General features: G+C 40.2%; 1 long non-coding RNA gene across 1 annotated transcript; it reads left to right on the forward strand.

The window, feature by feature from the left end:
- Positions 1-5478: 5478 nt before the first annotated feature.
- Positions 5479-13662, forward strand: LOC105377660 (uncharacterized). Its single transcript, XR_941061.1, has 3 exons — positions 5479-5596; positions 7979-8078; positions 13606-13662. It is a non-coding gene; the product is annotated as an uncharacterized LOC105377660 (long non-coding RNA).
- Positions 13663-14115: the final 453 nt, after the last annotated feature.

Raw genomic sequence — 14115 nt, forward strand, 5'->3', positions numbered from 1 at the left:
GGCTGCAAATTCAATCTCTTGTTTTCTTGCGAGTGCTCTTTTGCCCTTCTGCCTTCCACCATGGGCTGATGCAGCAAGAAGACCCTCACCAGATGCCCATTCCACAATCTTGGACTTCCCAGCCTCCAGAAGCAGGTGCCAAATAAACTTCTGTGTATTATAAATTACCCAGCCTGTGGTATTCTGTTATAGCAGCACAAAACAGTCTAAGAGAGCTATTAGAGCTACTGTAATCAAATTCTTTTAAATCATTAGTATTATTTTCAATATCTTAAGGAAATTAAATAATTTGCCCCAGATCATAGATAAATAAATTAAAAAAACAGCATCTTGGAAAATAAAATTCTAATGTATTTTTTATTGTCTTAGAAATAAGTTTTTATATTTATTAGTGATATCACACCTATCAAGTATTAGCATTCTCATCTATAATCATTGCCATTTTTCAAAAAGCACAATAAGGATACCATCTAGACCCAGTCACACAAGATAACTGACCATTCTCATTCTTATTATGTCAAAGGACAGTCTAGAGAAAACAGTTCATTTTAAACATCATCCCTAAGAACTATTAACATTCTCTTGGGACAGAGAAGAGAAGACTTCCATTGCTTGTCAGTAGATTTGACAGCAGACTTTCATTCTTTTCTTTCTTTCTTTTTTGGATACAGAGTCTTGCTTTGTCACCCAGGCTGGAGTGCCGTGGCACGATCTCAGCTCACAGAAACCTCTGCCTACTGAGTGCAAGCAATTCTTGTGCCTCAGCCTCCCAAATAGTTGGGATTATAGGCGTGGGCCACCACACTCAGCTAATGTTTGTATTTTTAGTAGAGACGGAATTTCACCACTTTGGCCAGTCTGGTCTCAAACTCCACTTTCTCCACTTTTTTTTTTTTTTTTTTTTTTTTTTGATGGGGTCTTACTCTGTTACCCAGGCTGGAGTGCAATGGCACAATGACAGCTCACTGCAGCCTTGACCTCTTGGGTTCAAGTGATCTCCCCGCCTCAGCCTCCCATGTAGCTGGGACCATAGGCCCATGCAACCATGCCTGGCTAACTTTTTCATTTTTTGTAGAGATGAGGTCTCATTTTGTTGTCCAGGCTGGAACAGCAGATTTTCATTTCCAAGCACATATAGTACTCATTTAAAACTTATACAGATATCAAGTGGATAATATCTCCCTTCTTCCCAAGATTTGATTGATGATTTAATTCTGTGATCTTCTACTTCATGAGGGTGTGATTTCATGAGAGTCATTTTAATTCTCTAGGTCTGAGATGGAATTGAAGTGTTACTTTTTTGATTGTTAATTGTGAAATCTCAAAATTCATTTAACCCACTTTTGAATCTTATACACCAAAAAATGTCACACTCTAGGCATTCCAAGTTATTTAACTTTATCATGCCCTCTAGATTCATGATCAGCACTTAACTTAAACTCAGTTGGATTGTAAACGTAAATGGCTCTAGACAGTCCCTGAATCCTGTTATCTCCCCAAGTGAAGGACTCTTAATCATCATAAAAAGTATCCTGTCAATGTATTTGATTAAAAATAACATCAGTGGAATGTTTATTTCCAAATGCCTTTTTTTGTACAGGAGGAGTGCAAGTAACTTAAAAGTGAAATTTTAAAGCTTGTAAAAGTTTGGCTTATGAATGAACTCTCTGCACATTTAAGTATTTAAAGTTCTCATGCTTTGGCAGCCATTATCTAAAATGTATAACTATTTCTTTTCAACTTCTTAGAGAAATTACAAGTTCAAATAAAGTTACTAGATGTAAATGACTACTGTTTTCAAAACTCTCTGTGCACAGTTTTTTTTTTTTTCAAGTAGAGACCTTTAAAACCACTTTGATATTATCAAAAGTCCAAGCTTAGCCACATATTTTATTTTCACATTTGGACTCTTCTCATGAATGTGTCTTGCCCAAGACAAAATATAGCTGCATATATAGAAACTAAGTTTGTATCTCTGCTTAAATAACCAAGATGTGTTGCATTTGAAACAGCAAAAACAAACCAACATTTTCATTCCAATTGCTCTTTGAACAATCATTATTATTTATTTTTTTTTAAATGGAGTCTCGCTCTGTCACCCAGGCTGGAGTACAGTGGCACAATCTTGTCTCACTGGAACCTCTGCCTCCCAGGTTCAAGCGATTCTCCTGCCTCAGACTCCCAAGTAGCTGGGATTACAGGCATGCACCACCATGCCTGGCTAATTTTTTAATTTTAGGTAGAGACAGGGTTTCATTATGTTAGCCAGTCTGATCTTGAACTCCTAAATTCAGGTGATCTGCCTGTGTCAGCCTCCCAAAGTGCTGGGATTACAGGTATGAGCCACCGCACCTGGCCTGAGCAATCATTTTCTATAAACTCCGCCATCTAGACTGCCCACTACTTATGAGTGGCAACACATTAGCTAGTTGATAAACAACTGGGCTCAGTGACAATTTACTAAATTTTGTGAGAAATTATATTATCTGTTGATATTCACAAGTTTGTGGTTTCATACGATCTCAAGATATAACCCATGGGAATGTCAAGGGTCTACAGAGTTACCATACACATTTTATAGATGAGAAAAATAAAGTTCAGAGAAGGTGACTTTCTCAAGGAAACACACTTAATAAATGGCAAAGTCTGGGAGCCAGCTCTAGTGAGAAAGCATATTCCATTTCCTCCGCGAATGGGACGTTTTAAGCACCAACACTCAGCAAACACTCTGTGCACAGGTGATATTTTTATTTTATAATCAAAGCTTGAGCTATATAGTGACAAAGGTGATAGAGTCCACAAACCCATATTTGCAATTCTGAAGTTTAAAAAGCCCCAAAGTAGGTTTTGTAATTCGTTTCACACCTGACCTGACTTGAATTCATTTGCTGGCAAAACTTGGCCTGAAATGTAATGATTTTTCATGGCTCTTATTTATTTAATTTAGTGTGAATAATCATATATTTTGTTGCATAATTATTAATATGTTTGTTACAGAGCTCTTCCTCAGACTAAATGGGGTTGTTATGTCACACGTGGTAAATGTACAGTATTACTTATAACTTTTTTTTAAATTCTGAATTTCAAAACACCTGGCCTAAGGGTTTTAGATAAGAAACTATAGACCTGAAGAACAAAAATATTAATAGCAATAACAATGAGAGTAAAACTTGCATTCTACAGTTTGATCTCATCTTTATGTATTTTTGCAAAATACTTTCAAGTATATCTTATTGCATTGTCACCAAATGTGAATACTTCCTAATGTCTTTGGATAGATTAGCGCTGTTATCAAGTCCCTTGGCCAAATATAGGCCTGACATCAAACGGATGCAGGACTTTTCTTCTCACTTTGCAAGCCGATGACCCCTGGACAGCAATGCTCCATGCAGGGCCTTCCTCAGCCACACTGGTGTGCCTCAGCTTGCCTGTGTTATAGCTTGTACCCACATTTGTTCCTGAGCTCTTGTACCGCGCACAAAAAGAATGAGAATATGCAAGACATTGGAGGGTGAAGAGGGTGGAGAATAATTGTATTGAGCAATGTAAATGGCTTTCAGTGGAAAGGGGACAGGGCGGGGATGGATCCCTTGTGTGGCTGGGTCTGGGGCCTTTTATGGACTCAGAATGGGGAGTGCATGCTGATTGGTTTGTGAGTATGCAAAAAAAGTTAAAGGGATGACACCACTCAAAGGTGGGCATGACAGTGTAGAAAACCAATTAGGAAAGGGTAGGTATATGTAAAATAGGTGAAGGATGGGAACTAATCAGAGGAAGGTGCACCAAATGGGAGGACAAGTTCTCAATCCAGTCTGAGGATTTAACTTGTAGCTTGGCTTTCAGGCTTTAAACTGTCTTCAGCTTGGAGATGGGGTTTTGCTGGGGATCTGCCCCCTATCTGCCTAGGCATTTGTCTGCCTCTATCAAAACTAAGTTTTGACATCTTAAGTAGGATATTAATTTTAAAAATTAATAATATTGTATGTCTGTGTGTATGTCTGGTGTCTGTGTATGGTTTTCCTTCTCCTGGGCTTTTCTTATAATTAAATTTCTCTAATGATTTTATTTTTATATTGGATGGCATAAGATTTTTATTTAGTTGTCTAAATGTAACTAGCACACTGTAATAAGTTAAGGGCCTTAGTGGCTGGGCCTGTTGCCTCACACCTGTAATTCCAGCACTCTGGGAGGCTAATGTGGACAGATCACCTGAGGTCAGGAGTTTGAGACCAGCCTGGACAACATGGTGAAACCCCATCTCTACTAAAAATACAGAAACTAGCTGGGCGTGGTGGTGTGTGCCTGTACTCCCACTACTCGGGAGGCTCAGGCAGGAGAATCACTTGAACTCAGGGGGCAGAGATTGCAGTGAGCCAAGATCACACCACTGTACTCCAGCCTGGGCAACACAGTGCAACTCCATCTCAAAAACAAAACAAAACAAAACAAAAGTTAAGGGCCTTAGTGAGCTGTGTTATGAAATAGGATTCCAGCATTTATACAAAGAAAACAAAAGGGTTAATTCTTATATAAGCATAAAAAGTATTTCTTTGCCTAAAATATTATGGATAATAATATTTAATCAAGATGTTTCCTTTACTTTCCAGAAAATTTTAAATTCAAATCAAGATTACAGATATAATATTAGTTGTTTACTGGATCAGTAGTTTTCAAAATTTTTTTCCTGCTGCAAAACACATAATGGATACAACATATTCTATCCAGTAACGGTGGAGAGAATTATTCACAAAATAGTTATTATTTATACAGCCAGCAATCATTCCCATGCCTAGGGTCCAACAGAACCAGTGTGGATCAGCTTGAATTTTAATAAAAATCCAACACATTTCATAAAGCTCCTGTCATAGGTTCTGGAAGCTCATTTCCTATAGTAGCAACTTCCCTTTACTCTAGCATGCTCTTTGCTGGCCTTGGTTGCAGGCCAAGGGTGAAAGGAATCTAGAATGGATGAAAGAGGAGATAGATTATAAATACCAACTATAGCTTTGGGACCACTGCAGCAGTGTGGAGTATAACCCGTTCTATTAACTTTCCTGAATTGAGTCTTTTGTAGATTGTTGCCAGCCACCATCTTGAAGGCTTTGGATTGGACTTCATGTAGGACACAGTGGATCTTGTGGTACGGGTGAACTGCAGTGGACATCTCTTATGCTCCACTTCACATCCTCTCAGCCCATCTTTTACTAGTGGCATTACAATGGCCTATACAACCTAAATGTTCAAAGTTTAAGGGAGTCATTATCCTTCTGAAAAAAATCCTTGATACAATGGTAGTGGGGATGGATGGATAAATGCTCCTACCTCCTCTTCAGGAAGACAGCTGTGAGAGATACTTTATGGCTCTTTAGAATATCCCAGCAGCATCAAGCCTTGGGCATTCACAATGACGATCAACTTGATAACATGGCCTTTTCTCCCTTCTTTCTCTTCTGTTTTCTAGATTGTCTCTTAAGTAAGCTGTCTTAAGGGGCCATCCGGGATTAGTCTTGCCTGTTACATGCTTCATTGGAAGTTCTTAAGGCTACAGTTGGGCTTGAAGATTTGCAAGAAAGACTCACAGAACTCAAAAGAGCTGGTATGTTCATGATTACTGCTTATTACAGAGAAATGAGTACATACTAAAACCGGCAAATGGGAAAGGTATATGAGACAATGTCCAGGAGATACCAGGCACAAGCTTCTGGGTGGAGTTGTATGGGAATGCATTTAATCCTCCAAGCAATGGTATGTGACAACATGTGTGAATTATTGCCAGTCAGGAAAGCTCACATAAGTCTTGGTATCCAGGGTTATTATTGCAAATTGGTCAGGTAGGCATGGCTGACTTTAATTGCTCAGCCTACAGCCCCACCCCTCTACTTATGTCAAATTGATACAGCATGGTCCAGGACCCTCTGGCATATGAAAACACGCTTCATCAGGCAGGATATTCCAAGGGCTCAGACGTTATCTACCAGGACTGGCCAGTCAAGGACCAGTCCTATGAAGAAAGACCTTCTTTGGAATGTACAGGATTTGAGCAACCCAGACCTGCTGAGTTAATCCTTTACTGCACACATGTATTGGTCTTATCACTCTAACTACAACATAAGGTTCTCAAAGAAATGGATATTTATACAGTTTTTCACCCAAGTAAATACTTAGTAAAGTCCCTCTGCCAGAGTTAGAGCAAATCAATATTCCTGAATTCCACCCCCCAACTTTTTTTTTTTTTTTTTTAAGCAAAGTCTCATTTTGTCACCAGGCTCTCATTTTTAACCCAGGAGTGCAGTGGCACCATCTTGGCTCACTGCAACCTCTGCCTCCTGGGTTCAAGCCATTCTCGTTCTTGAGCCTTCCAAGTAGCTGGGATTACAGGTGCCTGCCACTGCACCCAGCTAATTTTTGTATTTTTAGTAGAGACAGGGTTTCACCATGTTGGCCAGGCAGGTCTCCAACTCCTGACCTCAAGTGATCTGCCCACCTTGGCCTCCCAAAGTGCTGGGATTACAGGCGTGAGCCACAGTGCCCAGCCAGTATTCCTGAATTCCCAAACTGATTTTCTCCCAAGAACACATTTCAGTGTGCATTTTGAAAAGTACTCTGGGGTATTTGTACACCAAGTCCCATTAGTCCTCAGTTAAGGGTTCTCAGGGATATTAATTTCCCCATTTCTTCTTTCTGGACTGCCATTTTGCATCTGGGCAAAGCACATGGTCCCAAAATGCCCTCAGGCAAAGAGGTGCAGGTACCCGCAGCTGGAAGTGGGCTAGAATATGCTGAAGGGGCAGGGAGAGGAATCCAGGTGAGGCAATGCAGCAGCTGCTACAGTGCTCCAAAGTTCCCTAGGGTTGAGGAGGAGGAAAATGAGTTAGAATTGTGGATGCCTTCAACTTATTGTCACTTGATAGAAGAGTCTCATCTCCTAGAACACAACACAAATTCCATCTTTGGAGGTCAAAAAGCTGAAAGTCATATAAGACTGATACGGTGGGTAAAATCTAATGTAAATTGGTATTGGCATTATATTTGCATTATAGATAAGGTTATAACTTCAAGGAATAGGTGAATATCCACTATAAGTCAATAATGATTTTTTAAAGGTTTAGTCAAAACAAAATGAGTACACACTGCAAATGGGGAGCATGGCATTTCATCATGAATATTAACTAAATAAACATAAAGACATTTAAAGACCAAGTTAATAAAGGTGTGAGCAGATAGGATCTGGAATAGCACATCCCAAATGGAAAAACCGTATTAAGAACCTGAATAGTCATCTGATGTGACTGTGCTTATTGTCTGAAGATCTCTTCTGGGGTTTTGTAAGGGAGTTTTATGGAGAACAAACTAACAAGGGGCAAAATATAAATGGCTGGAGTCTATGATAAAAGCTTATAGGGAATAGTGCTATATTATTTCTTTAATTTTCTCCAGCACTGTTTTTACAGCTATCTCAGTGAGCAAAATGCAAGTTTTATAAATAACTTCTTGCATGGAGCTCTCTGATTTATCCCATTCATAGCAAGCTACATCTGTGCAGGCAGCATAGCTTAGCTGTGGAGGCAGGGGGCAAAGAACTGACTTGACTGAAAAACATGAACACGTTGGCAAAAGGTAGCCAAATTCTAAAAAAAGCGGGGGTGGAGGAGTAGATTTTAAGAGTTCTGGCTCAAAAATAGAAATATAGAATTGATCTGAGTATATTAGTATTGCTTAATAAAGAATATTGCAACGCGAGCGGGTGGCCTACATGAAAATACAGAAAAGGGGATCAGAACAACCAAAGTCAGTAGTGTCCTTCCAGCTGATGTTGACTCTGACCCTAAGGAAAACAAATACACTTAGTAAGGGCTATACTCTGCTCTGAGTTAGAAATGACTCACTTAGCTTCTGAAGATACTCTGCCATTTCTGTCAACCTCCCTTTGCTCTGAATGCATGCTCATAGAGCAAACTACTGATTTGTTTTCACACAGGCTTTAAGATATCTTGAAACCAGGAAGAGCTTGCTGAAGGGCGGACATGACTATGTCTGTCATTGTAAAAGAACGGCCCTGATGATAAATTGATAATTTGGTAGGTATTGTTACCTTAAGTCAGATGACTGTTTTGGTAGGCTGAAAAAGTCAAGTTCCTGGATCACAAAGTGAAGAACCAGATTTGAAAGTGTTAAAGCCAATCCATGAGGTCCGGCCTGGAAAACTAGCCATGCAAGCCCCACTCAGTTGACCTATACACCTTCAAACTGGACAATAGTACCCACATTAGTAGTATACGTGTAAGAACATATGTAAAAGAAAACCTCCTCAAATCACACAGATAAAAGGGCCTAGTACACTATGAAGAGCCCAGACTCTCCAAGGATCATTACGGGGACACTCTGTGCCTCTACTTCTGCCCCTTTAAGATTCCAAAATCTATGCATACAGATAAACGTTGTCCTCCAAATTCCTTCTGAGAATCTATATGTTCTCTCAAAAAAAAAAAAGGTTACTCACCTTGAGTAACATAGCAAGACCCCATCTCTACAAAAAAATATAAAAATGAGCCAGACATGGTGGCACACACCTGTAGTCCCAGCTACTCAGGAGGCTAAGGCAGGAGAATCATTTGAGCCTAGGAGCTCAAGGCTGCAGTGAGCTATGACAGAACCACTGCACTTCAGCCCAGGCAGCAGAGCAAGACCCTGAATTAAAAAAAACAAGCAAACAAAGAGGTTTCTGTTCAAATGCTTTTAGGAACTTTACTTTGGAAATTTCCCTTAGAGCCATTTATGCAAAAATATCTGTTATTTAAGCCACCCAGTCTATGATAGATTTGCTGTAGCAGCTTGAACTGACTGAGACACTCTCAACCACATTCTCATCCCCTGGAGAAGAGGAACCTGGTCCATTCTCCTCTAGAGTCCCCTGACACTCTGACTTGTGCAAAGTAGGTGCTCAGTGGAGGTTTGTTAGACTAATGAGTGTGATTACTCATACCTCTACATAGGAAACTTTTTGCAAATAGACTCAAAAATATTTCTTTGACTTTTACCACTTAAACTAGAAAACAGTAACTACTTGGCAGCAGAACAGGGATCTAGACCTGATACTCCTGTAGGAGGAGTTCATGATCTTGTCCATTGGATCATTCAGATAGTCCTTTCAGAAAGAGATAAAATGCCTAAAAGGTAAAGGGTCGTGTCATGACAAGGGTCTTTTTACTTGCCGCAATAGTTTTGGTTGCAGAGCAGTTCCAATACTCTGGGTGTTGCCCATGTCAGGGCCTGGTAAGAGTTTCCCAAAGAGCATTTCCTGTCTTTTTGCATAGCAAATGCCAGCCACAGTCTTACCGCACAGGTGAGTGAATGGATTGATGCTCTATCACATAAGAAATGCCATGCTAAATAGGCATGATACAGGTAATGGTTTTGTCCTTTTCATCTATATAATATATTATAATATGTTATTTTCTATTATGAGGTCTTCATAAGCAAGACAATATGTTCTTCAATTTCCTGTTCTTGTCTCATTGTTTTCTCTGACCATTCTTATTCAAAATTCTCCTGTATGCTTGTTTTTTGTCAAAGTGACTGCAGTGTAAGTTGAGAGCAATGTAAAACAGAAACTTCGAAATTGGCAGCCATGACACAAGAGGCTGTTTTAAATTAGTTGGGAGGAATAGGATTAGGGAAAGATGTTTTTTGTGTGCTATTAGCAGTTTAATTCATTAAGATTTTAGTAAGGTACTTTTGAATGGCTACTTCTGGTTGCCTGCTTTATTAAAATTGACTGAACTCCATCATGTCTCAATATTTGTTCTTGACATTTCTGTGCATCATTTATGTTCTGGAAATAAGGTAGTCCGTGTCTTGAGAGAACTTGTATTAGTCTGCTTACACGCTGCTAATAAAGACATATCTGAGACTGGGTAATTTATAAAGGAAAGTGGTTTAATTGACTCACAGTTCCACATGCCTGGAGAGGCCTCACAATCATAGTGGAAGGTGAAGGAGAAGCAAAGCCACGTTCTTACATGGCGGCAGGCAAGAGAATATGTGTAGGGGAATTCCTCTTTATAAAACCTTCAGATCTTGTGAGACTTATTCACTTTCATGAGAACAGCATGGGAAAGAGCCGCCCCCATGATTCAATTACCTCCCACCAGGTCCCTCCTGTGACACACAGGAATTATGGGAGCTACAATTCAAGATGAGATTTGGGTGTGGACACAGCCAAACCACATCAGAGCTGGATGTCTTAGGCTGGAATATAGAGAAGCAAACAAAAATAACCACAATAATATGTTATATGTTATAATAAATTGTAATGTTTTGTGTTATATAAAATTACAAAGGTATAGGGTGGTTGATTATTTCTGGCTTAGAATAGGCAGCTTAGGAAAGCAAAGTGAAAAGAGGAATTCCAGGCAGAGGCAAATGTAGGAGAGAAGGATTGAGGCTGGAATGTGTGCAGGATATTCAGGTAAACAATAGTGAGTGATGGGGTTGGTGAAGAGAACAGATGGAGGCATAACTGGAGAGCTGGGCTCAGGTGAGGTTGTAAAAGGGCTTTGTTTACTGTGCTAAGATGTTCATGTACTATCTGGAGTGGGTGGTGAGATGCCATCAAGAGTTTCAAGTGGGTTTCAATGAGTGCACAGAAATGAGGCTGGAATGTGCACAGGATGTTCAGGTAAACAATAGTGAGTGATGGGAAGGTGGGGAAGAACAGATGAAGGCGTATCTGGAGAGGTGGGCCCAGGCTAGGTTGTAAAGGGGCTTCGTTTATTGTGCCAAGATATACGGGTAGTATCTGGAGGGGGTGGTGAGAAGCCATCAAGAGTTTCAAGTGGGTAGGTGTCATGGTAAGATGTGTGTTTTAGAAAGATCACTCATGCAATGTGGGAGGTTAATGGAAAAAGAGTGAGCCAGGAGACGGGGCTGTTAAACAACTTCAGGACTGATTCAAGCAGTGGGGGTGGAAGAGGAGATGGATGCAAGAGACTGTTCAATAGATCCCAGTGGCCTCGCTCTTCAGAGAGATTATGACAACATAATGGGAGATAGACAGAAGAGTAGCATGCCAGAGTGTGTGCACAATTGTCCACCCATGTCCTCAAACTCAGTTTGCTACTTATTTCTTAAGCACAGCACCCTAAGATACTGCACGTTGTGAATTTTATTCTATTTGTTTATGATTTATGATTACTCATTATTTTTAGACTAAATCAGAATTTGTGATGAAAAAGGTAGTTGGGTACAATTTGACTTGGCCCCATATATTAAAAAAGAAAGGAAGACTTACTAAGAAAATTTAAAGTTTTTTCTTTTTTAAAACTCTTTTTTGAGATAGGGTCTTGCTCTGTTGCCCCAACTGGAGTGCAGCTGTGCTATCATAGCTCACTGCAGCCTCAAACCCCTGGGTTCAAGCAGTCCTCCCACCTCAGCCTCTTGAGTGGCTGGACTTCAGGTGTGCACCACTATGGCCAGCTAATTATTTCATTTTTATTTTTTGGCAGAGACAGGGTCTCACTGTGTTGCCCAGGCTGTTCTCTAACTCTTGGCTTTAAGTGGTCCTTCTGCCTTGGCCTCCCAAAGTGCTGGGATTACAGGTGTGAGTCACCATGCTCAGCTAAAGATTTCTTCTAAAAATAGCAGTTTTGAGCCTTTAAAAAGCACAAAAGGCCAGAGAAATGTAACATGTCCCGGGTCCCCTGTCCATGCAGGAGCCATACCACTGTCCTCCCCTGGTCCTGCTCTTCACCCAGGCTTCTCTTCTGTGGTTGCCAAAGAAGCCAGTGGGACTAATCTTAGACATATTAGAAAAACTGTGGGTTTGGGAGTGAGAAAAAAGGGGAAATATTCTCCCTAAGAATATACGGAGAGGTGGAAGGAACTACAGCTTTAAAATCCCCTGCCAATTTTAATTTTGTTCTTAGGGACATTCCAGCACAATGGAAAGAAAGAGGGATTTGCTACTAAGAAAGTACAAGACAAGAGTGCTAACATTTTTTAGGGTTTTGTTGTTGTTAGAATGAGGAAAATAAAGCTAGGTAACTTACCCAACATCACAGAACTAGTAAACAATAGTAGAACTCAGACTTGAACCAAACACATGGCTTCCTAAACAATGGAAGATTTTGGGCCAGGCATGGGGGGGTTCACACCTGTAATCCCAACACTTTGGGAGGCCGAGGTGGGTGGATCGCTTGAACTCAGTAGTTCAAGATTAGTCCAGGCAACATAATGAGACCCCCGTCTCTACCAAAAATACAAAAAATTAGCCAGGCATAATGACGTGCGCCTGTAGTCCCAGCTACTTAGGAGGTTGAGGTGAGAGGATCACTTGAGCCCCAGAGGCGAAGGTTGCAGTGAGCTGAAATTGTGCCACAGCACTCCAGCCTGGGCAACAAAGCAAGACCCCATCTCAAAAAAAAAAAAAAGGAATGGAAGATTTTTAAGAAAGAGAAAGGTACTGATGTGGTATTTATGAGAACAAAGAAGATAACATTTAATATTTGGGGATCCAAAATGTAAAACAAACCTAGAAAGATGAAGAAGACCATATGGATTAAATCTTTCATGAATGACTAAAATTAAGCACACGCCCTCCCAATCCCTGGTTTTCTGTACTCTGTACTCTTATAAATTTATTTTTAAAACTTTTATGGTTACAGATGTACAGGATTATCACTTGCTATTTTTGTCTTTTTAGTGGTTATTTAACTTAAAAGCACAAACTATAAATTATGTTTAATGCAACGATATATTCAATAGCTGGTTCTAGACAAATAACTCCAGATTAGAGATCTGACCAATAATACAGTCACATAGAAATAGGAAAAATATGACCTGCCTGTTGATCTTAATTTCAGTTGGAATTACTAGGGATTTAATAAAAGATGAATAACTCATCCCCATCATCATTGTCATCCTCATCACCACTAATATTGATCAAGCATATTAAATGTCCTAGGAACGGTATATTATCATTTAATCATCATTATCACTCTATGAGAAGGTGTATTGCAATCCCTTGTCACGGATGCAATAACCATGGCTTAAGGACTGTAGCAGACGCTTTTGGAGCACCATGCTACACGCTCTGCTACACCTGGTATCAGTCCATTTTGGTTATACAGTTCCACGCATGTTGCCCAGGTCCCACATCAATTCATTAGCATTTTACTAATGGGGGCTTCCCTATAATTGTTTATATGGTATTGAGATAATGCATGCTATGGCAACATTCTGGCACACTTTATTCTTTGCATAGGATGAGTTGCAGGGCCAAAGTCACTGCCATGGAGTTAGCTAATTGGTTAAGGACATCAGCATTGCTCTGCTTTGCTGCCTTGGGAAGCTTTGAAGTCTCAGGAAGCTTCTCAACCACTTGACAATTTGGAAGTGTCGGGGAGCTAATGACCAGAGGGGACTCTCAACCAGTGAAGGCAAGAATCACGGCTGAGACAGCTTCTGAGATGCAATCTATGTATAGTTCCTTAGAAGGTCCCCACACAATTGAGTCTCAGTTGCCCCCAGTGGTAACTAGATAATTTGTATGCTCTCTATTGGCTTCTCTTCCTTCCAAGTCTCACTTTTCTCATTTCTGCTTCCCAGGATCACCTTTGAAGTAAACCATCTTTACCCAAGTTCTCAGGAGAACCCAAAACAAGGCAGGTATATTAAGTATCTTGCCCAAAGACACTCAGTAATATGCAGAGCCAGGATTCAAACCCAGAAAGTCTGTTTTCAACACCTGTGGTCTTAGGCACTGTCCTGAGGAACTTGGGCTCTAATGCAAACAATAGGCACCTTGTTATATAAACTCCAGAGAGTCACATGAAGAGTAATTTACATAGAGCACTGAGTCTAGTGATAAATAAGTGTGATCTTCATGCCTACATCAGGGTCATTAGTAAGAATCAATTCAAGGTGGAAAGTAATATACAATTGGAGTAGTTATCAGGTTTAGAGGCAAATTTTGGACAGTCTTTGCAGGCCTGTGTTCTGGTTCTGACTCTACTACTAAAAACATTTTGTGATTTGGGACATGTTATTGAACTCCTCTCCTCATCCGTAAGGTGAAGACAATTCTCACCCAGCCTGCTGCCTAGGACTACTGAGAAG

Source organism: Homo sapiens, chromosome 4 (genome assembly GCF_000001405.40).
Source record: "Homo sapiens chromosome 4, GRCh38.p14 Primary Assembly".
NCBI classification, from domain to species: domain Eukaryota; kingdom Metazoa; phylum Chordata; class Mammalia; order Primates; family Hominidae; genus Homo; species Homo sapiens.